Source organism: Homo sapiens, chromosome 8 (genome assembly GCF_000001405.40).
Source record: "Homo sapiens chromosome 8, GRCh38.p14 Primary Assembly".
In the NCBI taxonomy this organism is placed as follows: domain Eukaryota; kingdom Metazoa; phylum Chordata; class Mammalia; order Primates; family Hominidae; genus Homo; species Homo sapiens.
The window spans coordinates 25,504,654-25,529,945 of NC_000008.11; the positions used below are offsets into that span (position 1 = coordinate 25,504,654).

At 40.5% G+C, this 25,292-nt stretch overlaps 1 protein-coding gene across 3 annotated transcripts in view, besides 1 other annotated feature; it reads left to right on the plus strand.

The window, feature by feature from the left end:
• The window catches only part of CDCA2 (cell division cycle associated 2), a 48,987-nt gene extending 45,723 nt beyond the window's left edge, over positions 1-3,264 (plus strand). For 2 of the 3 annotated variants that reach the window (NM_001317906.1, NM_001317907.1), the window contains one exon: positions 1,857-3,264. In NM_001317906.1, the coding sequence (NP_001304835.1) occupies positions 1,857-3,085 (1,229 nt within the window). In that variant the 3' untranslated portion in view covers positions 3,086-3,264. The remainder of the gene's footprint in view (positions 1-1,856) is intronic. The other variant, NM_152562.4, reaches the window with a different exon arrangement.
• Positions 2,840-3,134: a silencer, noted in NCBI's record as "tiled region #1118; HepG2 Repressive non-DNase unmatched - State 15:Elon". NCBI's record gives its function as "represses a minimal TATA promoter and a strong SV40 promoter by Sharpr-MPRA in HepG2 cells {active_cell/tissue: HepG2}" and the evidence as "EXISTENCE:reporter gene assay evidence [ECO:0000049][PMID:27701403]".
• Positions 3,265-25,292: the final 22,028 nt, after the last annotated feature.

Below are 25,292 nucleotides of genomic sequence, written 5' to 3' on the forward strand. Positions count from 1 at the left end.
GCCACCCCTCTGTCGCATACGCCCTGGCTCACACTCTTCTCCTGCCATGCTTTCTCACAGGCTGTGTTGTGACAGGGCATCCACCACTCTACCTTTAATCTGACCTAATGTTGCTTATCTTCCAAGATTTTGCTGTATTGTCTGTTTTTCCAGGAATACTCTGCAACATACTTCCATCACCTAGTTTTATGATGATCTATTTTCTATGTTCCCCTGCTCCCTAAAACTTCAGTCTCCTTGAGAGTGGAAACTAAGTCTTATTTTCATTACATCTCTAGTTCTTAACAGTTTTTCAAAAGATGATTAAACAGTGACTGTAGTAAAATTTTCCATGTTGTATCGTATTAGAGAATTTATTTTTTAAAATACCTAAAGCATTTTTTGTCTGTAACCAGTGGTATCACCTGCTACATGGGTTTAAAGCAATTCAGCTCCTTGCTTCCTTTATCTTCTCTATCTCTTTCTCTTTTTCCTTTCCTCTCTCCCTATATCTTCTTTACCTTCCTTCTCTAGTATGTTGGATTTTATGCGAAATACATATCTTTTTGTTTGTTTGTTTGTTTTTTGAGATGGAGTCTCACTCTGTCGCCCAGCCTGGAGTGCAGTGGCTCAATCTTGGCTCACTGCAACCTCCACCTCCTGGGTACCAGCAATTCTCCTGCTTCAGCCTCCCAGGTAGCTGGGACTACAAGCACGCGCCACCATGCCTGGCTAATTTTGTATTTTTAGTAGAGACGGGGTTTCACCATGTTGGCCAGGCTGGTCTCAAACTCCTGACCTCAGGTAATCCACCTGCCTCGGCCTCCCAAAGTGCTGGGATTACAGGCGTGAGCCACTGTGCTCGGCCATAAATATCAATTTTTAAAGCTGTCTAAAGAGCCCAACTAACATTGGTTGGCACTGAGTGGGCACTGACCTGTTTAATCTCTAGCTTTAAGTGACATGATTTTAAGTACCTTAATCATGGATATATTTTTAAATGGAAACATTGTTTTTTTAGACTTTTGGCTCAACTTATGTTTTATACTTTTTTTAGTTTTTATTTTATTTAAAACACTTTATTCATTTGACTGGCCACTTAAAAATATCATCTGAGGTATCAAAAAAGATTGCATCTAATAGTTAGTTCTAAGATTTAGAACTCATAAAGCCTGAACTCATGTGGGCTGTGTTACTTACCAATCTGATGATGGTTTTTCCACCTCTGATGTGCCAGAAATACATGAAAGCCTACCCACACGTGTCTTCCTGGAGGATATTTAGTCAAAGGCTGAGGAATTAAGGGTCGATTTTTATAATATTGAAACAAACCTGGTTCTGTTTCGGAGTACAGTGCACTTTATAGTAATTTTTAACAAAGGGCATGAGACCTGAGTGTCTTCAGGCATGCTGTTTTAGCTCATAAGTCCTCAAATACCCCAGAATTCCAAATTTTCCCTCCCCTGTTTCGGAGGATACATTGGTAGAAAGTTTCAGAAGCATAATGTTGCCCATTTGCAGTCATTCATTTTCAGGGAAATGGGAAATGTCACTGCCTCATACTCATGGACCTTGTAGCACGGGAAGGGTGTTAGAATGGAGGAAGCTGTTTCAGATGCTGTTCTCATTTTCATGGTTTGAGGTTATATGCTTTATTAATTCATGCGTTGAATACCTATTTTCTTAACCTGTGGATCGTTGGAGAACTAAAAGAGGAGGAGGAGGATGACAGAAGGGCAAGCACAGTGTAACATTTGTGGGTCTTGTGAATGCTTAAAACACAAAAACAAAACAGGTCACCTGATTATTTAATAAATGTAAAGTTCATTCCCATTGTTACTTTTTAATTAGATTTAAACCTATTTACATGCCCATAGGTTATTTCAGTTCAAATGGCAAACTGGAAGAAGTGAAGACTCCTAAAAATCCAGTGAAAAGAAAGGATCTTTTGCGTCATGACCCAGATTTGCATATGCATCAAGGCTATGATAAATATGATGTCTCTGAATTCTGCTCTTATATAAAAAGTTCCTCATCGCTTGGCAATGCTACTTCTGATGAAGATCCAAATACAAATATAATGAACATTAATGAAAATAAAAATATTCCAAAAGCAAAAAATAAGTCAGAAAGTGAAAATGAACCAAAAGCTGGAACTGACAGTCCTGTTTCTTGTGCTTCTGTAACTGAAGAACGTGTGGCATCAGATAGTCCCAAACCTGCTCTGACCCTGCAGCAGGGTCAAGAATTTTCTGCTGGTGGTCAAAATGCAGAAAACCTTTGTCAGTTCTTTAAAATTTCACCAGATTTAAACATAAAGTGTGAAAGAAAGGATGACTTCTTAGGAGCTGCAGAAGGAAAACTGCAATGCAATCGTTTAATGCCTAATTCACAAAAAGACTGTCATTGTTTAGGAGATGTCTTAATTGAAAATACGAAAGAATCTAAAAGCCAGAGTGAGGATTTGGGAAGAAAACCCATGGAAAGTAGCAGTGTTGTGAGTTGCAGAGACAGGAAAGATAGAAGACGTTCCATGTGTTATTCTGATGGTCGAAGTTTACATTTGGAAAAAAATGGAAATCACACACCATCCTCCAGTGTGGGCAGCTCTGTAGAAATTAGTTTAGAAAATTCTGAACTGTTTAAAGATTTGTCTGATGCCATTGAGCAAACCTTTCAGAGGAGAAATAGTGAAACCAAAGTGCGACGTAGCACGAGGCTACAGAAGGATTTAGAAAACGAAGGTCTTGTATGGATTTCACTTCCACTTCCTTCCACTTCCCAAAAAGCCAAAAGAAGAACAATATGTACATTTGACAGCAGTGGATTTGAAAGTATGTCTCCCATAAAAGAAACTGTGTCCTCCAGACAAAAACCGCAGATGGCACCTCCCGTCTCAGATCCAGAAAACAGCCAGGGCCCTGCTGCTGGTTCTTCCGATGAACCTGGTAAGAGGAGGAAGAGCTTTTGTATATCTACACTTGCAAATACTAAAGCCACTTCCCAGTTCAAAGGCTACCGGAGAAGATCCTCTCTTAATGGGAAGGGAGAGAGCTCTCTGACTGCCTTGGAAAGGATTGAACATAATGGAGAAAGAAAGCAGTAATTGACATTTCCTGCAGAGTCTGTGGCAAGAGGGAAAGTAACCATCTATGCTGAAATGATCTGTCTAGTTCCCATTCTCTGTTCAACCTCAGTGTTTCAAAAGTTCCTAATAAATAAACTCATTTGAGTTGAACCTACTTTTATGTAGAAATAAATAAGTTTCTTCATCATTCAGATAGAAAACATTCTATTAAATATATTCTTCTTCCGCCAGAGAGTAAATGCTTTATTACTACTTTGCTAAAAAGGTTATTTTTAGGCACAAGAAGACATCTCTCAATTTTTAGACTTTTTTTTAGCATATATATTTTTAAGTACATATTTACCACTGAAGTCTTAGACTCTGTTGTTAGAAGCATCTTTTAGAATTGGCTGATTTTATCTGGATAAGAGGTTTGTTTTTTTGTTTGTTTGTTTTTCTTTTTTTTCCCCACAAAAGATAAATTGATAGAATTAATGGAACTTTATGAAAATTGAAGGAAATATAAACTTGAAGACTTAAAGCGGGTAAGATATGTATTTTTCTTTAGAAAAAAAAAACCTGGCTATAAATTTTAACTAACAAAAGTTGAAATTATAAAACTTGTTTTCCTTTTGGTTAAATTTAAGAGAAGACTTGATGACTTGTTTTATCTGTCTCAAATGAGATTTTTATTTTAATAGTTTAAATCCTAAACAAGAAATTTCAGAAAATTATTTCAGTAACCACAATCTTATAAATTCATCATTATAAATGAATATATAATTTAGAAATAACTCTGATGTGAAACTATTCATTCCTTTAAACAAGATTCCTTTATATTTTGTTGTGTGTTGGGGGGAGGAATTTTTTATTTTTTATTTTTTATTTTTGGTGAAAATATAGCTCAGTTAAAGACTGGGCTCTCAGATTATTCTAATTAGTCACAGGCAGTTTGGGACTTAATTCATGGTTTTCCATTAAAAGTTTTGAAAACCAAAAACTCACTGATAAAATTAGTTTACTAACCTGAAGTGTGGCAGTAGGTCACTGATTTTTTAACACTGAGTTTTCCAGCGGTTCTTTTTTTTTTTTTTTTTTTTTAATAATATCTGGCACTTGACTTGGTTTCTCTAGCTTTTGCAACATCTCCTATGGCTGTTTTGGTGATAGCAGTTTGAAAAACTAAATTGCTATATATCTGGAATTTATGAATGCACATAAATCATTATATCATTAAACAATTGTCTTTGAAATCCTTTAAATCATTAAACTCCCCCTCTCCATGATAGCAGAAACATGTTAACAAATAGAGCTCTCTATAAATAACACAGCAGGGAAGAAAGCTCCCGCTGGGCACCCATTTCCCCCTTCTTACATAGAGACTATTTGTTACCTTCTTGGCACCGGCAGGTCTGGAACTCCTGCTGCTAAAGACTAATGTATTTTACATTAACACTCAAAGTGATCCCCAATTTCTTCTGCTCAAGGGTGGATTGTTTTTAAAATTCTTTTATCTTTACATGTAAATTATTTATAGACTTTTTTTTTTTCCATTTCTAGTTTGGTGTGGTTGGCAAATCTCTACCACTAAAAACAAGCTCACCACTCCCCCCACCCCAAAAAAATGAATGAATTAGCTTCTCTGAAGCTTTTTCGTTTTGCTGATTTTAAGAGAAAACTTTCAGAAACCTAATAAAATTGTTTTGCATTTCTACCTTGTCTAATATGAAGACTAACAACTAACTATTGATTGTTATTTCACTCCCTGTTTTCTATGATGATATATGATCACAATTGTATTTCAATTTTTAAAATTACACATGCTTTGTTTTATTTCTCAAAAAGTGCTAATGAGAATGAGGGAAACATTTCCAATCTGTGATTTGGGCATGGTTTTTCAAATGTGAAATGTTCTCTTTTTCTAGCAGCAGTTAAAAATGTAAACACACCGTTAGTTTCAAAATGTTTCATTATAAACATTTTGTTGACATTTGTCAATAACAAATAGGCATTTTTCCTAAAAAAAAAAAAAAAAATCTGAAAAATCAAAGCAAGTTAGATGCAGTTTTATCTACCAGGTCTCATTTGTACAAGATGTGTAAAACATTAATAATTTCTGTATTTGGTCATTCTTGTTTTTTGTTTTGTTTTGTTTTTTGTTGTTGTTGTTTTCCCATTTGTTTTCATTCATGGTTAAATCAAAAGCTTGGCTTCAAAATGGTTTTTTTTCCTGCCATGTTTTTTCGTTGCAGTAACTAACCCTTGTTCTTCCATCATGTTTCTGTTCCTGTAGATTCTTGTTTGTTCCAGAAGATGGCAGCACAACCTCTGAAGTTTTTCCTTCTCTGTGCATAACCTAATGGCTGTTGCCTGTGTGGCCCCCTATTTTTACTTTTTTCTTACATAAGTAGTATGTATCAATTGAAAAACACAGAACTGTACGGAATTTAAAAGTGGAAATATGGCATCTATCTTCCTTGCATTCCACGCAGGTGTCATCCAGCCACACCCTCCTCTCTGCAGCTCTCTCTGCAAGCACTTAACACCTGGCATGCACCTTCCAGACCTTTCTTGTATAAACATGCATGCATCGTTTTGTTGTTTTCTAACAGGATCACTATATGTGCCATTCTACCACTTGGTTTTTTTAATTCAACAAAATGCCATGAGTATCCTTTAGTCTTTTTATGGACAGCCCTAGTGCTGCTACTTCAGTCTTTTTTAACCCCTTCATATACCTTGAACATCTGTAATGAAGGTGGTCATCTCCTTACTAATGGATGAATGTCAGTTATCTCCAGCTTTTGCAATTATAGCAGTAAATGTAGCAAATACAAAGCCATATTGGGCTTGTTGAAAATATCTGTAAGATAAATTCCTTGAAATTAAAATGATTACGTTCTCTTCTGTGGATCTTAGCTGGCACATTCCCCTTACACACATTTTGGCATCCTTGCCTTCTTTCTGCCTCTCATTTTCTGTTCCTACTACTTAATGCCATTTTGCTTCCATCTTCTGTCACTACTGCCTCTACTTCCACTTAAGCTGCAGAATTGAGGGTGGGCCTTAGACCTGGTATGTGGAGGAGAGAATGATTAATTATACCTGGTTCATGCTTTAGATTGAAAGAGCTACCTTTCAAAGTCAAGTTTATTGAGGTATAATTAACCTACGGTGAAGTTCGCGTTTTTAAAGCATCCAGAATTTTGGCAAATTTATACAGCCATGTAACCAGTGCCACAATCAAGTAATAGGACATTTCTGTCACCCCAAAATTCCTCCCACCTCTTTGTAGTCAATTTTCTACCTGCCAACCCCGGGTCTTCACAACTGCTCATCTGATTTCTAGTGTTACAGTTCTGTCTTCTCCAGAATGTCATACAAATGAGATCATATAATATATACCCCTTTGTGTCTTTAGCTTAGCGTAATGCTTTTGAGATTCACCCATGCTTGCATGCTGTAAGTAGTTGATACTTGTTTATTGCTGATACTTGTTTATTCCATTTTATAGATGTACCAAAACTTGTTTATCAGTTTACCACTTGATGGATATTTCGATTATTTCTGGTTTGGGGCTAATGTGAATAAAGCTGCTGTAACAATTCACATATGGATCATTTTTTATAGTCACATGTTTTCATTTATCTTGCATAAATATCTAGTGGTAGGGTTCCTGGGCTGTATGGTGGTAGTATTAATATATGTTTACCTTTTTAGGAAACTGCTAAACTTTTCCATAGTGGCTGCATGATTTTGCATTTCCACTGGCAACACGTTTTGTTTGTTCCACATCTTCACCAGCCTCTGGTATTGTTAGCCTTTTTTCATTGTAGCCATTCTAGGATGTGTGCAGTAGTTTCTCATGGGTTTTGATTTATTTCTCTAATGACTAATGATATTGAACATCTTTCCTATGCTTATTTGCCATCTTTATATCTTCCTTGTTGTGATGTCTATCCAAATTTCTTGCCCACGTTTGTTGTTGCTGTTATTGTCTTACTGTTATTGAGTTAAAAGAATCTGTACATTTGGATACACATCCTTTATTGGATATGTCTCTTAAAATATTTTTTCCCATTCTGTGGCTTGTCTTTTTATTTGCTTAGCAGTGTCTTTTGAAGAACAGATTTTCATTTTGATGAAGTCCAGTTTACCTTGTTTTTACTTTAATGGTTCATGCTTTTTGTGTCCTAGCTAAGAAATCTTTGTCTAACTCAAAGGCACAAAGATTTTCTCCTGTGTATTCTTCCAGTTCTATAGTTTTAGCTCTCACTTAAGTGTTAGATCCACATTAATTTTCTTGTGTGAGATGAAGGTGGGTTATTTATTTTTAATGGAAATCATTCAACACCATTTGTTGAAAAGATTAACCATTTCTCATTGAATTACATTGGCACCTCTGTTAAAATTATTTGACCTTATATGTGTAGATCTATTTCTGGACATTATTCTGTTCATCTGTATGTCTATTCTTCTACCAATATACCACTGTGACTATATAAGAAAGTTTTGGATTTTTTAAAATCATAGTTTAGGGGTTTTTTTGGAGGGTAGAGAGGAGGCCAGAAGAAGCAAAAGGTTGACCAGCCACATCTGTCTGGGGCCTTCAGTTATTCCCAGACTTGTAGTACCATTTGGGTGCAAGAAGTGAAGCCAGCAATGACAGGCTATCAGAGACACAACAAGGAAACCAACTTCTCTGGGTGCCTCTGCGTTCAGCCTAGTCCTCTGGAAACTAGTTTACTATGGTTTATGATTTAAAATTTGACCCTAAGTTACTAAAAGATTCAGTCATCAAGAAGTAATTCTCTCTCTGGACACTACTCTGTATAGCAGTAAGAAAATAAGGTGAATTAAAATAAGATTCAAAATTCAATTTGCTAAAAAATTACCTAATAAGCATGACTCATTTATTTTCATAAATTGAAGTTTGTATTATAGTTTGATTTAGTGTAAAACTTAGCCAGGCATGGTGGCTTACACTTGTAATCCCAGCACTTTGGGAGGCCAAGGCAGGAGGATTACTCGAGCCCAGGAGTTTGAGACCAGCCTGGGCAACACGATAAGACCCTTCCTCTACAAAAAAAAAAAAAATTTAAATTAGCTGGGCATGGTTGGTTTCAGCTACTCTGGAGGCTGAGGTAGGGAGGATCGTTTGAGCCCAGGAAGTTGAGGCTACAGTGAGCCATGTTCGTGCCACTGCACTCCAGCCTGAGTGACAGCGAGACCCTTTCTCAAATAAATAATAAATGTCACTGTCCTTACTCAGTAACCTTAGCATTTGAGGATTGTTTCCTAATGTAGGAAAATTTTCCTGCACCAGCTCATTCTAGGTAGGCAGATTATGGACTCATTAATAAAATAATTTGCCAGCCATTTATTCAACAACTACTATGTGCCAGGCATTAATTTCTAAATAAAATTGCTTTCAAGATGCTCAGTTTTCTTTCTGTAAGGGGACAAAATTACAATACAGGGTATGATAAAAAAGAGATACCCCAACCTGTCAGCCCTCCAGGGGGTATCAACCTTCAGATCACGCAAGTTTAGTTTCTTTCCAGAATAAGTGATGCTTGAGCCAAATTCACTAATAGGAGTTTTAGAGGAATGGGGACCCAAAAGGCACATCCCATTCCAAATCTCCTTTGATTATTATTCAATAATTTCATTATTCATTAAACTGAGACTAGGTGATACAGGCTGGCTTCATCTCATGTTTTTCTTTTAAGTATTTTTTAACTTTCATTAAATTCTAACCTATAAATACATCTGGAAAAGCATGGATTTGAAACTAGACTACAAGTTGTGAATTGTACCTAAAATTTTAAAGAAACCTGCTCTGTTCTCAATTGCTTAGGCATTTCTGTCTCATACTATTGGGTGTCTTTGTAGTGTGTCTAAAGGGTTTCACTGTGGGTTTGGAGTCCTAGACCAAGTGAGTGGAATTGGGATTAAATTACAGCAAATAATTGTACATCCCCCTTTTGGGGTGTCTTAAATTTATTTGAAGATTATTGCATAGCCTTGATTTAGCTCTAGAATGGGTTAATTACTAACATACTATGGCCTAATAGTTTCAAGTTTGTCTAATATTGTGCAGGTGTGTTCATTTTTGCATATTCTTTGATGCTTTTCTGTTTATGAAATTGTGTTACAGACTGCGAGTAACATAGCTTAAATGAGAAGATAAGTAATTACTGCCTTTCAACTGATACATATTTCTGTTCCACATCTTCAACCAAGATCATACTTAGCCTGATTTTGATATGACCTTAAAGATTTATTAGAAAGGTTTTTAGAAATTTCTAGGCAATTGAGAAGCAAATATTTTCTGAAACTGCTTTTAATTTTTTGATACTTTGTAAGCGTTATATCTCTTACATGAAAAGAGAAAATAAATAAGCATTTACATTAAAGAAGAATACAGGTTTGCATTTTCTAAAGGGTAAGTTGGGATTTCATCACAAAATTTCCGGTGACCACCTGGAAAGCTGACTAAGTCTTTTTCTCATTTATCCTAGGCATACAAATTGACTATCTTGATTTATGTTCTGTGATAATAAGTTGCCTTCAGGGATGCAAACAGCTAACATTTTGGTTTTAGATGTAATTGAAGAAATGTCAAATTATCTTAAGTTTTTGAAGTTCCAAATTCTTAAGTGTATGTGTGTGAATTTTTAAGCTTGGAATTTAAAAGTACATATATTTGCCATATCTAATAATTTATTCTCATGGTTTATTCACTGTCTTAAAGTTTGCTTTAAAAATTCTTCCACTTTGATAATATTTTATAATGTCAAATACAGTGATCTGATACTGGCATTTCTTTTGCTTTTGAAAAACAAACTGCATTCCCAGTGTTCTCATATCCCAGGTCCTTGTTGAAACAAGGAAGTAAATGTCAATAATTTCTTCTTTTTTCACATCACATAACTGCTAAGTAGCAGGTGCTTGCAAAAATAGGTTCATCCCTATGTCTGATTCAAACATGGGAATAATTTTTCAGTATAAAATGGGGGTCAAACAGTTGAAACGTTATAGAGAAGATGAGTAAAATGGGATTTTTTCAGTTCAAGTACATTTAGTTTGGATGCCAATCACTCGAAAGTAAAATGTAAGATTTTCTGCCTAACGTTTGTACAAAATACAGTATGTCCATTTTCTAATTGTTCACAACAGAGGAATAATCAATAAAGCAGCCAGTCTTGTCTTTTCTTTTTTAAGTAAACGCTGGGAATGAAGATTGCAGAAGTATTCCCTGACTCAAACCTGAAAAACCTGGTGTTAGTCTTGGGTGATTTCCAGTGACCCTCTGCCTCCCTTCTTCCTGCCCCCTGTGTAGATTTGGAACCGGGCAGCCATTTTTGTTTTTGGAAGGGAAAGGAGACAGATATAATGAATGGCTTTTATTGTGCAATATTTCAGACTCTCTTGAATGCATTCGAAGGGATGGAAACTGTTCTGCCCTATGTCATAGCCAAAACAAACAAAACATATTCCCTAAACCTGGATATGTGTTTCTCTCAAACTGGCTGTAGTTAAGAGTTCAGCTCTCAAGCAAGAATTCGGTTTGACAATTTTTAGCCCTTGTTCAACTGAGTATTCGGATAGGTCACAGCCAAAGCAAATACTATGGGGAAAAATTAATGCACATATTTACAGCTTGCAGGTGGCATTCTTTCTAAAAAGTTGGAGATTTGTCTTAAGAAATTGCATTTGTGGTAATACTTTTAAATAGACTACTTTTTGCAAATATTTTTTAAATGAACTCTGATAATAGTAACTCCAAATGTAAATAAATTCTACAGAGGTCCCCAAAGAGTGATAAATGCTTGAATTTAAGTATTTAAACATTTAGAGACCACTAAGAATCTGAGAATTCTAGAAATATCAGACCCAGCGAATATGCACCAAAACCCCCTTGACAGTAGCCTTCTACCGTCCCTAAGGCCTCCACTGTAGGAAGCATCAATGGCTCCTTTCTGATGCAACCCCCAGCATTGTTTACTGACTCCAACCCCCCTCACTTAGGCTGTTAAGTGTTCCCTGCTTTGGATCTGCGGGGAGAACATATTCTACACCATCAAGATGATTCATTTTGTAATGTGCCATTGTGCTTCATGACCCTGACAAAATATATTTATTATTGGTCACAATAATAACTTTGAATTTATGGTTGCCTATAACCAGCTGGCTCTCGGTTTGTGTCTTAACCAAGAAATACGGGAAACAAATTGTAAGCCAGGCAGCCTGCCTCGCATAATGGTAGCAAAGACTTCACCGTTGGTCATCCCTTTGAAACATAAAATTCTAGCCTTCATTGAAGTTTTGCTGAACAATATTAGACACCTGTGTGAGTGGAAATAACTGGAAATTCTGTTGGCTGCTACTTTTCCATCTAATAAACAGCAGATGAAACGGCCCACGTCTTGCATCTCAGAAGCACTGCATGGCAGTGGAAAGATAACCTCTTCCCAAGCACTGAGAGGTCCAATGATATTCCTGTAAACCAGCCTGACTGGCACATCCTGGGCATATAAAGAGTTTCAAGCAGTGCGTGTTGAGTGTTTTGTAGTTTGTCATGAGTGGGTACGTGGGTATTGCCAAGATCTGTGGCTCAGGCTGTCAAGAGGCGAATGTAAATGTGAGGGAGGAGGCACTAGAGTCTTGGGGGGAAAAGCAGGTCCCTTTTCAACTTGTAAATGTTGCTTTAAGTTCTTAGTCTTCAAACTTAAATGTGGTAGGCCATAGAGTTCTTTCTTTGGGTAAAAGGACTAATTGAACACTTTGGTTTATCCAAGTTCTGCCTTACTATTTTTTAACCTTGTGACAGCTGAAGGGATCCCTTTAAACCTAAATAAAATTTTCGGGTTTAAAAACAATTTACCTTCTCCAGTCAAATTTACCTTCTCCAGTCAAATTGGAGACTCTTAAACAAGTCCCACTGTGGCTTTCTTTCCCCTCAGAGACAGAGGGAAACAACCGGCTTTCCTTTAAATAAATATCCTGCCCCCCTTATAATGCTTAATCTAGACTTTGTCTCCCCCTGCCTTTTTTTTTTTTTGTGCAACTCACACTATAGTAAACATATAAAACATCCTTCTAAGGTATTGTGAGATCTTCCTGCCTCTGGAAGCACAGAGGGAGATGTGCTATTGCTTCCATTTTTATGAATGAGACAGCCAGAGGGAAGCGCTTGGAGGAGCGGGCCACGGCCATGCTGGGAAAGGCTGGAGGCCTCTGACCCTCAGCTTGTGGTTTATTTCCCTGCCTCAGCCACCGCCTCCATCTTGCAGCTGGCTCCCCTTCCCATGCTTGAGGATGTCAGGCCATTTGGATTCTTATTGGCTGGTCTTTCAGATTTTAGTTGGGGATCCAGTGAAAGTGACCCACAACAGAGTTTTGAAGCCATCCAGAATCTCAAATAATCCAAAGTTGCATCTATTTTCTTAAAATTAACTGAATGATGAATGTTGACTTACATGTTCTTTTCATATTTGGGGTGGGGGAGGGGTTGGGAGCAGGAAGAAGACAGAAGCAGCACTGTTTAAAGCAGAAGTCGGCCAGGCACAGTGGCTCATGCCTGTCTTAATCCCAGCGGTTTGAGAGGCTGAGGCAGGAGGATCACTTGAGGCCAGGAGTTTGAGACCAGCCTGGGCAACATGGCAAAATTTCGTCTCCACTAAAAATACAAAAATAGGCCAGATGTGAGGACACGCTCCTGTAGTTCCAGATACTTGGGAGGCTGAGGCAGAAGGATCCCTGAGCCCAGGAGTTGGAGGCTGCAGTGAGCTATGATTGCGCCACTGCACTCCAGCCTGGGCAAGACAGCAAGATGCTGTCTCTAAAAAAGTGAATAATCTAGGTCAGCACTGTGTCTGCCTTCCAGTGTCAGCACTCTGTCTAAGGAACATTCTGAGTTCAGTCCCTAAGGTTTGTGCCCAGTGCCCTAGAGCTGCCCTATAAATGTCTGGGTGGATCTCTACCCTGTATTTCTCCAAGAGAAGAAAACAATCCTAGCCATATCCCCGGCACTTGTGAGGCGTGTGTCCCTTTGACTTTTCCTGCCTTTCCCTCTCACTGTACCATCCACAAGCAAAGCCTGTTTCCACGGGGCCAAAAGCTGTAACAATATTAAGATGTTTTCCTCAACCTTGTCCCCAGAAAGATACTCTGTTTCCAGAAGATTGTTCTCCCTTGGGCATTACATCATGAATTGATTCAGTTCTTGGAGGAAGAAATTGGACAAAATATAATAGATGACCTCTTGGGGAGACATACTTAGGTTGTTAAGTATTCCCATCAGAAAACTAAGAAACTGCTTATATATTACTACTCTGTCCACATTTAAACTTTCACCTTCTTGCAGCTGAGCAGGGTGCTTTTTTCTGTAAGGGTTTTTGTTTTACTGGGGGTCAAAGAGAACATTTCTCCTTTATTTTTTTAAGGAATACAAGTATTCTTTGTTTTTTGCCATTACCCTCCCTTGGTTTCAGGAGCCGGGGCAGGACACCAGACCCTGGGGCAGGTTGGGACGCAGCAGCCGCAAAAGGGTGTCCCCTGACCCCCAGATGAGTAGGGAGAAGGGAAAGGGGCTACTGGGGCATCATGGCCATCAGGAAAGGGGCAACACTTGTCAAATGTTTGGAAGGGATCACTAAGGTCTTGCAGATAGCATGGCTCCATATGCAGCATCCATGCTGGAGAAGAGGCTCGAGTTCGTCTTTCTTGGGAACTGGTTCTCAGGGAAAGATGTTAATGACTGATGAAATAACTCCCATCAAATAAACAGTGCAGTAAGAAATGTGGGAGCTGTTTGCTTTTCCAAGTTCACAAGCTGGAGTGGAGAAGAGACCCAGGAGAACTGGCTGTTTGCGTCTGCTGGCGGCAGATAGTGGTCACTTGGAGGGAAGAGCTGAGAAGCAGGAGGGACTAAGCAATGAAAGTGACGAACCTTTCATCGCTAAATGCCCATCTAGTGACTGGCAGCTTGCCGGTGTCCAGCGCCTGGCTAACAGATTGAAGGGCCGGGGGGCGAGTTGGCTGTCTCCTTTGGCAGGATCGTTGAATTGGTAGGGCCGATTTCCTTCGTGGAGGCAGGAGCATTCTCACAATGTCAGCCAGTCTCAGCGTTGTCTTGTCTTATAAATCTCCAATGGGAATATTAGCACAGCTCCCCAGCTCACTGAAATCTATTCCTCTGTCCTAATAAAAGCCCTGCAGTGGCTCCAACCAGGCCCCTGAGTCAGCCTCCGGGAGGCCAGCTCCTTTTCTGAGGTGTGCAGGTGAGGAAATGGAAAGCCCCTCTTGGACTCTAGTCAGGGGAGATGCAACGATTGAGGAAATTGGATGAAGGGTACACGGGGCCTCTGCTGTTTTTGCAACTTCCTGTGAATCCATCATTATTTCAAAATCAGTTTTAAAAAGTAATGTGCTTAAAACCACAAAAGTGTGAGCCTCAGTTACTTCATCTGTAAAATGGGAATATTAGTAATGCCTCCTTTATGGGACCTCTATGAAAATAACACAGATATTCTGTATTTGTTTTCATCAGACCAGCATCCTATGCCTTGCTCACCTATTCCCTTGATCACAGGGTACCTATTCCCTTGATCACAGGGTAACCAAAAGATGAAAAATATTCCATTGTATTGTTCATCCGCAGTGTCGTCACTGCAGCAGGTGTTCTTCCACATGCCCTCATTTTATGTGACTTCATTATCACACCCACATTACTGATAAGGAGCTGAGACTTGTTTTTTTAAGAGACAGGGTCTCACTCTGTTCCCCAGGCTGGAGTGCAGTGGCAGGATCATAGCTCACTGTAGCCTTAAACTCCTGGACTCAAATGTTCCTCCTACCTCAGCCTCTCAGGTAACTAGGACTACAGGCATGTGCCACCATACCCAGCTAGCTTTTTTAAATTTTTGGTAGAGATGGGGGTCTTGCTATGTTGCCCAGGCTGATCTCAAACTGCTGCCCTCTAACAATTCTCCTGCCTCAGCCTTCCAAAATGGGACTAAAGGCATTAGTCACTATACCCAGCTGGAAGCTGAGACTTTTAAGAGGTCATGTGACCTGCCCAAAGTCTCAGAGCTGGTCAGTGGCTGAGCTGGAATTAGGAGTCTCTCTTCCCCTCAAGTTGATTCTTCTTTGATGAAAATGCTGTACCTGGAGAGGCAATGATTTGGAGGCTGTGAAAGAGGAGAATCGAGTCTCATCCAGAAAGATAAGAGTTCTGTGCAAGACCTGCCAATGTCCTCAGAAATGGAGAGCCGCCCTCACTACGTGATTGGAGATACAATGACCATGTCTTGGCTCCACTGGAGGGATGTGTTTCCCCTTCCAGTCTTACTCTCCTGTCCGTAAGCCATAGCCTCATCCTGCATTTCTTCCAAAGGAATCCATCCCATTAGTACACACATGTCAACTACTGCAGAGCCCACTGCATTCCTTACTCCTAATTTAGATTTGTCTTGATCACATTGTGAGGAGGTTATATGGATCTAGCAAGGTCATTTTTTGTGTCATCCTCTATTGAATACACTACTTTTGGCTAAAAATTTAAATCAGCCTATCCATAGCCTTGTTCTAGCTTGTCCCTAGCCATGGAAATCAAATACCATCCATGTATCTTTTCACCATGTTACCAAAACATCAGGGGTTGAGTCTAGGTCCTACTACTCACTGCACTAAAAGCCAGTCACTGAGATGATTGTTGCCAAGGAAGAAGGCTTTAATCGGGTGCTACAGAGAAGGAGATGGGAGCTCAGTCTCAAATCCATCTCCCTGACCAGCTAAAACTAAGGGTTTATATAGCTGGGAAGAAATGAAACAATATGTAAGAAAACAGGAACTAGGGAAAGGCAAGGAAAAAATCAGGATGAATGAGGGGTCCAGCATCTCATTGTGTAGATGTGGTGATCTGATGAGTTTCACTTCTTTGATCCTTTTTTGAGAAACCTGAAGGTCACTTCCTAAGGAAGGAACTCGGATAAAACAAACACATGTTTTAAGCTTTGAGACCAGAAGGGTTGGCCGGGCTCAGTGGCTCACACCTGTAATGCCAGCACTTTGGGAAGCTGAGGTGGGTGGATCTCCTGACATCAGGAGTTCGAGACCAGCCTGGCCAACATGGTGAAACCCCGTCTCTACTAAAAGTACAAAAATTAGCTGGGCGTGGTGGCACACACCTGTAATCCCAGGTGCTCAGGAAGCTGAGGCAGGAGAATCTCGTGAACTCAGGAGGAGGAGGTTGCAGTGAGCTGAGATTGTGCCACTGCTGCAGCCTGGGTGACAGAGTGAGATTCCATCTCAAAAAATAAGACCAGAAGGGTCAATTTCTATGTTTAGTCTATGGGACTATTAAATCAGTTTCACACCCAAAGTGTGTCTACCTATGGCTTGGCAGGAGAGGTCAGGTGTGTGTGTCAGCAAATGACAGGAAGATTGCCAGGAAGTTCTCTCTAGAGTCTGGTAAAAGAACAGCTTCTGTCAGGAAGTCTTACCCTGTTCTTAGGACAGTTGTAGGGATAATCTGAGTTTAACAGCCCTCCCTCCATCCTGGGCACCTTAATTCCAGGAAGAGACAGGTCTGTACTCTGGGCAGCTGTTGGCATTTCTGTTGGGAGGTCTGGAGGGGAAACTGGCACAGGTCCTGTGTTGGGGGCTTAGGACAGCAAGTGCCAAAAGAAATCTTTATTAAGTGATAACTAATTACCAGATGGTGAGTAGAATGTAATTGTAGTTGGTACGCTGAAGTTGTGAGACTTGTTAAGAGATTTCTCCAGCTCCTTGCTCTAGTTCTACAAAGAAATTTTGGGGAGAGAATGGGAATCCCCTCCTGTAGGAGTTAATTTCCAAACCTGGGGAAAGCTACCCTCCTTTCCCCAATAGCTTTTCCAAAGAATCAATGATTTAAAAACTGTATCTTGGCTGAGCATGGTGGTTCACACCTGTAATCCCAACACTTTGGGAGGCCAAGTCAGGAGTATCACTTGAGCCTAGGAGCTCAAGACCAGCTTGGACAACATAGTGAGACCCTATCTCTATGAAAAAAATACAAAAATTAGCTGGGCATGGTGGCACGCACCAGTAGCTATTCTGGAGGCTGAGGTGGGAAGATGGCTTGAGCCTGGCAGTTCAAGGCTGCAGTGAGCTGACTGCACCACTACACTCCAACCTGGGCAACAGAGAAGACCTTGCCAATTAATCAGTCAATATAAAAATAAATCAATGGCCGGGCACGGTGGCTCACGCCTGTAATCCCAGCACTTTGGGAGGCTGAGGCAGGCGGATCACAAGGTCAAGTGATCGAGACCATCCTGGCTTACACAGTGAAACCCCATCTCTACCAAAAATACAAAAAAATTAGCTGGGCGTAGTGGCGGGCACCTGTAGTCCCAGCTACTTGGAAGGCTGAGGCAGCAGAATGGCGTGAGTCCGGGAGGCGGAACTTGCAGTGAGCCGAGATGCGCCACTGCACTCCAGCCTGGGTGACAGAGCGAGACTCCGTCTCTAAATAAATAAATAAATGAATAGGCCGGGCACGGTGGCTCATGCCTGTAACCCCAGCACTTTGGAGGCCGAGGCGGGCGGATCACGAGGTCAGGAGATTGAGACCATCGTGTCTAACACGGTGAAACCCCATCTCTACTAAAAATACAAAAAATTAGCTGGGTGTGGTGGTGGGTGCCTGTAGTCCCAGCTACTCGGGAGGCTGACGCAGGAGAATGGCGTGAACCCAGGGGGTGGAGCTTGCAGTGAGCTGAGATCACGCCACTGCACTCCAGCCTGGGTGACAGAGCAAGACTCCATCTCAAAATAAATAAATAAATTAATTAATTAATTAATTAAATGTAAACATATAAAAGAAATGAATAAAAAACTTTTATTTCAGTTATACCCCATTTCACTTGCAAATGTTCCTGTGACAGTAAAACATCAAATTATAAAATTTCAAGATATCTTGTTTTGTACTTGTAGTTGGGATTTGCAGTACTTGACCATTATATAACATTACAAAATGATCTGATGGCTGGCAAGATGGCCGAATAGGAACAGCTCCAGTCTGCAGCTCCGAGCGAGATCAATGCAGAAGGTGGGTGATTTCTGCATTTCCAGCTGAGGTTCATCTCACTGGGACTGGTTAGACAGTGGGTGCAGCCCATGGAGGATGAGCCGAAGCAGGGTATGGCGTTGCCTCACCCAGGAAGTGCAAGGGGTTGTGGACCTCCTTCCCCTAGCCAAAGGAAGCAGTGAGGGACTGTGCCATGAGGAACGGTGCACTCAGGCCCAGATACTATGCTTTTCCCATGGTCTTTGCAACCCACAGACCAGGAGATTCCCTCGGGTGCCTATACCACCAGGGCCCTGTGTTTCAAGCACAAAACTGGGTAGCCATTTGGGCAGACACCGAGCTAGCTGCAGGAGTTTTTTTTTTTTTTTTTTTTTGTATCCCAGTAGTGCCTGGAATGCCAGCGAGATAGAACCATTCACTCCCCTGGAAAGAGCGCTGAAGCCAGGCAGCCAAGTGGTCTTGCTCAGCGGACCCCACCCCTACAGAGCCCAGCAAGCTAAGATCCACTGGCTTGAAATTCTCACTGCCAGCACAGCAGTCCGAAGTCAACCCGGGATGCTGTAGCTTGGTGGGGGGATGGACGTCCACCATTACTGAGGATTGAATAGGTGGTTTTCCCCTCACAGTTTAAACAAAGCTGCCTCAAAGTTCAAACTGGGTGGAGCCCACCCCAGTGCTGCAAAGCCACTGTAGCCAGACTGCCTCTGTAGATTCCTCCTCTCTGGGCAGGGCATCTCTGAGAGAAAGGCAGCAGCCCCATCAGGGGCTTATAAATAAAACTCCCATCTCCCTGGGACAGAGCACTTGGGGGAACAGGTGGCTGTGGGTGCAGCTTCAGCAGACTTAAATGTTCCTGCCTGCCAGCTCTGAAGAGAGCAGCAGATCTCCCAGCATGGCACTCAAGCTCTGCTAAGGGACAGACTGCCTTCTCAAGTGGGTCCCTGACCCCCATTCATCCTGACTGGGAGACACCTCCCAGCAGGCGTCGACAGGCACTTCATAGAGGAGCACTCCAGGTGGCATCTGGCAGGTGGCCCTCTGGGACCAAGTTTCCAGAGGAAGGAACAGGCAGCAATCTTTGCTGTTCTGCAACTTCTGCTGGTGATACCCAGGCAAAGAGGGTCTGGAGTGGATATCAAGCAAACTCCAGCAGACCTGCAGCAGAGGGGCCTGACTGTTAGAAGGAAAACCAACAAACAGAAAGGAATAGCATCAACATCAACAAAAAAGAACATCCACTCAAAAACCCCGTCTGAAGGTCAGCAACATAAAAGACCAAAAGTAGATAAATCCACGACAATGAGGAAAAACCAGCGCAAAAAGGCTGAAAATTCCAAAAACCAGAATGCCTCTCTCCTCCAAAGAATTACAGCTCCTCTACAACAAGGGAACAAAATTGGACGGAGAATGAGTTTGACAAATTGAGAGAAGTAGGCTTCAGAAGGTGGCTAATAACAAACTCCTCCAAACTAAAGAAGCATGTTCTAACCCAATGCAAGGAAGCTAAGGACCTTGAAAAAGGTTAGAGGAATTGCTAACTAGAATAGCTAGTTTAGAGAGGAACATAAATGACCTGATGGAGATGAAAAACACAGCACGAGAACTTCGCAAAGCATACACAAGTATCAATAGCCAAATCGATCAAGTGGAAGAAAGGATATCAGAGATTAAAGATCAACTTAATGAAATAAAGCATGAAGACAAGATTAGAGAAAAAAGAATGAAAGGGAATGAGAAAAGCCTCCAAGAAATATGGGACTATGTGAAAAGACCAAACCTATGTTTGATTGTACCTGAAAGTGACGGGGAGAATGGAACCAAGTTGGAAAACACTCTGCAGGATGTTATACAGGAAAACTTCCCCAGCCTAGCAAGACAGGCCAACATTCAAATTCAGGAAACACAGAGAACACCACAAAGATACTCCTCGAGAAGAGCAATCCCAAGACACATAAACGTCAGATTCACCAAGGTCAAAATGAAGGAAAAAATGTTAAGGGCAGCCAGAGAGAAAGGTCGGGTTACCCACAAAGGGAAGCCCATCAGACTAAAAGCGGATCTCCCTGCAGAAACCCTGCAAGCCAGAAGAGATTGGGGGCCAATATTCAACATTCATAAAGAAAAGAATTTTCAACCCAGAATTTCATATCCAGCCAAACTAAGCTTCATAAGTGAAGCAGAAATAAAATCCTTTACAGACAAGCAAATGCTGAGAGATTTTGTCACCACCAGGCCTGCCTTACAAGAGCTCCTGAAGGAAGCACTAAATATGGAAAAGAAAAACTGGTACCAACCACTGCAAAAACATACCAAATTGTACAGTCCATCAATACTATGAAGAAACCGCATTAACTAATGAGCAAAATAACCAAGTAGCATGATAATGACCAGATCAAATTCACACATAACAATATTAACCTTAAATGTAAACAGGCTAAATGCCCCAATTAAAAGACACAGACCGGGAAATTGGATAAAGAGTCAAGACCCATCAGTGTGCTGTATTCAGGAGACCCATCTCATGTGAAAAGACACACATAGGCTCAAAATAAAGGGATGGAGGAATATTTACCAAGGAAATGGAAAGCAAAAAATAAAAAAAAAGCAGGGGTTGCAATCCTAGTCTCTGATAAAAGAGACTTTAAACCAACAAAGATAAAAAAAGACAAAGAAGGGCATTACATAGTGGTAAAGGGATCAATGCAACAGGAAGAGCTAACTATCCTAAATATATATGCACCCAATATAGGAGCACCCAGATTCATAAGCAAATTCTTAAGAGACCTACAAAGAAACTTAGACTCCCACACAATAATAGCGGGAGACTTTAACACCCCACTGTCAATATTAGACAGATCAATGAGACAGAAAATTAACAAGGCTATTCAGGACTTGAACTCAGCTCTGGACCAAGCAGACCTAATAGACATCTACAGAACTCTCCACCCCCCAAAAACAGAATATACATTCTTCTCATCATCACCTCACACTTATTCTAAAATTGACCACATAATTTGAAGTAAAACACTCCTCAGCAAATGCAAAAGAATGGAAATTGTAACAAACAGTCTCTCAGACCACAGTGCAATCAAATTAGAACTCAGGATTAAGAAACTTACTCAAAACTGTACAACTACATGGAAACCGAACAACCTGCTCCTGAATGACTACTGGGTAAATAATGAAATTAAGGCAGAAGTAGCACTAAATTCCCACAGGAGAAGGCAGGAAAGATCTAAAATCGACACCCTAACATCACAATTGAAAGAACTAGAGAAGGAGGCCAGGTGCAGTGGCTCACACCTGTAATCCCAGCACTTTGGGAGGCTGAGGCAGGCGGATCATGAGGTCAGGAGACTGAGACCATCCTGGCTAACATGGTGAAACCCCATCTCAACTAAAAATACAAAAAATTAGCTGAGTGTGGTGGCGGGTGCCTGTAGTCCCAGCTACTCAGGAGGCTGAGGCAGGAGAATAGTGAGAACCTGGGAGGCGGAGCTTGCAGTGAACCGAGACCACACCACTGCACTCCAGCCTGGGCAAAAGAGCAAGACACTATCTCAAAAAAAAAAAAAAAAAAAAAAAAAAAAAAAGAACTAGAGAAGCAAGAGCAAACAAATTCAAAAGCTAGCAGAAGACAAGAAATAACTTAGAGCAGAACTGAAGGAGATAGAGACCAAAAAACACCTTCAAAAAAATCTATGAATCCAGGAGCTGGTTTTTTGAAAAGATTAACAAAATAGACCGCTAGCCAGACTAATGAGGAAGAAAAGAGAGAAGAATCAAATAGACACAATAAAAAATGATAAAGGGAGTATTACCACTGATCCCACAGAAATACAAACTACCATCAGAGAATACTATAAACACCTCTACTCAAATAAACTAGAAAATCTAGAAGAAATGGATAAATTCCTGTACATATACAACCTTCCAAGACCAAACCAGGAAGAAGTCAAATCACTGAATAGACCAATAACAAGTTCTGAAATTGAAGCAGTAATTAATAGCCTGCCAACCAAAAAAAAAAAAGCCCAGAACTAGACAAATTCCCAGCCGAATTCTACCAGAGGTACAAAGAGGAGCTGGTACCATTCCTTCTGAAACTGTTCCAAACAATAGAAAAAGAGAGACTCCTTCCCAACTCATTTTATGAGGCCAGCATCATCCTGATACCAAAACCTGGCAGAGACACAACAACAAAAGAATTTCAGGCAGCCAGGTGCGATGGCTCACACCTGCAATCCCAGCACTTTGGGAGGCTGAGGCCGGAGGATTACAAGGTCAGTAGATCAAGACCAACCTGGCTAACACAGTGAAACCCTATCTCTACTAAAAATACAAAAAAGTAGCTGGACGTGGTGGCGTGCACCTGTAGTCCCAGCTACTCAGGAGGCTGAGGCAGGAGAATGGAGTGAACCCGGGAGGCAGAGCTTACAGTGGGCCGAGATCGTGCCACTGCACTCCAGCCTGGGCGACAGAGCAAGACTCCATCTCAAGAAAAAAAAAAAAAAAAGAATTTCAGGCCAGTATTCCTGATGAACACCGATGCGAAAATCCTCAATAAAATACTGGCAAACCAAATCCAGCAGCACATCAAAAAGCTTATCCACCAAATCGGCTTCATCCCTGGGATGCAAGGCTGGTTCAACATATCCAAATCAATAAACATAATCCATCACATAAACAGAACCAATGACAAAAATCACATGATTATCTCAACAGATGCAGAAAAGGCCTTTGATAAAATTTAACACCCCTTCATGCTAAAAGCTCACAATAAACTAGGTATTGATGGAACATATCTCAAAATAATAAAGAGCTATTTGTGACGAACCCACAGCCAATATCATACTGAATGGGCAAAAGCTGGAAGCATTCCCTTTGAAAACCAGCACAAGACAAGGATGCCCTCTCTCACCACTCCTATTCAACATAGTATTGGAAGTTCTGGCCAGGGCAATCAGGCAAGAGAAATAAATAAAGCGTATTCAAATAGGAAGAGAGGAAGTCAAATTGTCTCTGTTTGCAGATGACATGACTGTATATTTAGGAAACCCCATTGTCTCAACCCAAAATCTTCCTGAGCTGATAAGCAACTTCAGCAAAGTCTCAGGATACAAAATCAATGTGCAAAAATCACAAGCATTCCTATACACCAATAATAGAGAGCCAAATCATGAGTGAACTCCCATTTACAATTTTTACAAAGAGAATAAAATACCTAGGAGTACAACTTACAAGGGATGTGAAGGACCTCTTCAAGGAGAACTACAAACCACTGCTCAAGGAAATAAGAGAGGACACAAACAAATGGAAAAACATTCCATGCTCATGGATAGGAAGAATCAATATCGTGAAAATGGCAATACTGCCCAAAGTAATTCATAGATAGATTCAATGCTATCCCCATCAAGCTACCATTGACTTTCTTCACAGAATTAGAAAAAACTACTTTAAATTTCATATGGAACCAAAAAACAGCCCTCATAGCCAACACAATCCTAAGCAAAAAGAACAAAGCTGGACGCATCATGCTACCTGACTTCAAACTATACTACAAGGCTACAGTAACCAAAACAGCAGGTAACATACAGTAACCAAAACAGATATACAGACCAATAGAACAGAACAGAGGCCTCAGAAATAACACCACTCATCTACAACCAGCTGATCTTTGACAAACCTGATAAAAACAAGCAATAGGGAAAGGATTCCCTATTTAATAAATGGTGTTGGGAAAACTGGCTAGCCATATGCAGAAAACTGAAACTGGACCCCTTCCTTACACCTTATACAAAAATTAACTCAAGATGTATTAAATACTTAAATGTAAGACCTAAAACCATAAAAACCCTAGAAGAAAACCTAGGCTATACCATTCAGGACGTAGGCATGGGCAAAGACTTCATGAGTAAAACACCAAAAGCAATGTCAACAAAAGCCAAAATTGACAAATGGGATCTACTGAGCTTCTGCACAGCAAAAGAAACTATCATCAGAGTGAACAGGCAACCTACAGAAGGGGAGAAAATTTTTGCAATCTATCCATCTGACAAAGGGCTAATATCCAAAATCTACAGGAACTTAAACAAATTTACAAGAATAAACAACCACATCAAAATGTGGGCAAAGGATATGAACAGGCACTTCTCAAGAGAAGACATTTATGCAGCCAACAAACATATGAAGAAAAGCTCGTCATCACTGGTCATTAGAGAAATGCAAATCAAAACCACAGTGAGATACCATCTCATGCCAGTTAGAATGGCCATCATTAAAAAGTCAGGAAAGAACAGATGCTGGAGAGGATGTGGAGAAACAGGAACACTTTTACACTTGGTGGGAGTGTAAATTAGGTCAACCGTTGTGGAAGATAGTGTGGCGACCCCTCAAGGATCTAGAACTAGAAATACCATTTGACCCAGCAATCTCATTACTGGCTATACACCCAAAGGATTATAAATCATTCTACTATAAAGACACATGCACATGTATGTTTATTGTGGCACTGTTCACAATAGCAAGGACTTGGAACCAACCCAAATGCCCATCAGTGATAGACTGGATAAAGGAAATGTGGCATATATACACCATGGAATACTATACAGCCATAAAAAACGATGAGTTCATGTCCTTTGCCAGGACATGGATGAAGCTGGAAACCGTCATTCTCAGCAAATTAACACAAGAATAGAAAACCAAACACCACACGTTCTCACTCATAAGTGGTAGTTGAACAATGAGAACACATGGACACAGGGAGGGGAACATCACACACTGGGGCCTGTCGGGGGGTGAGGGGCTAGGGGAGGGATAGCATTAGGCGAAATACCTAATGTAGATGACAGGTTGATGGGTGCAGCAAACCACCATGGCACATGTATACCTTTGTAACAAAACTGCATGTTCTGCACACATACCCCAGAACTTAAAGTATAATAAAAGTTCTTTATAGATTCTGTATATGAGACCTTTGTTGGATGCATGGTTTGTGAATATTTTTCCCATTCTGTAGGTTGTTTGTTTACTCTGTTGATAGTTTCTTTTGCTGTACAGAAGCTCTTTAGTTTGATTAGGTCCCACTTGTCCATTTTTGTAATTGCTTTTGAGGGCTTTGTCATAAATTCTTTGCCAAGGCTGATGTCTAGAATGGTGTTTTGT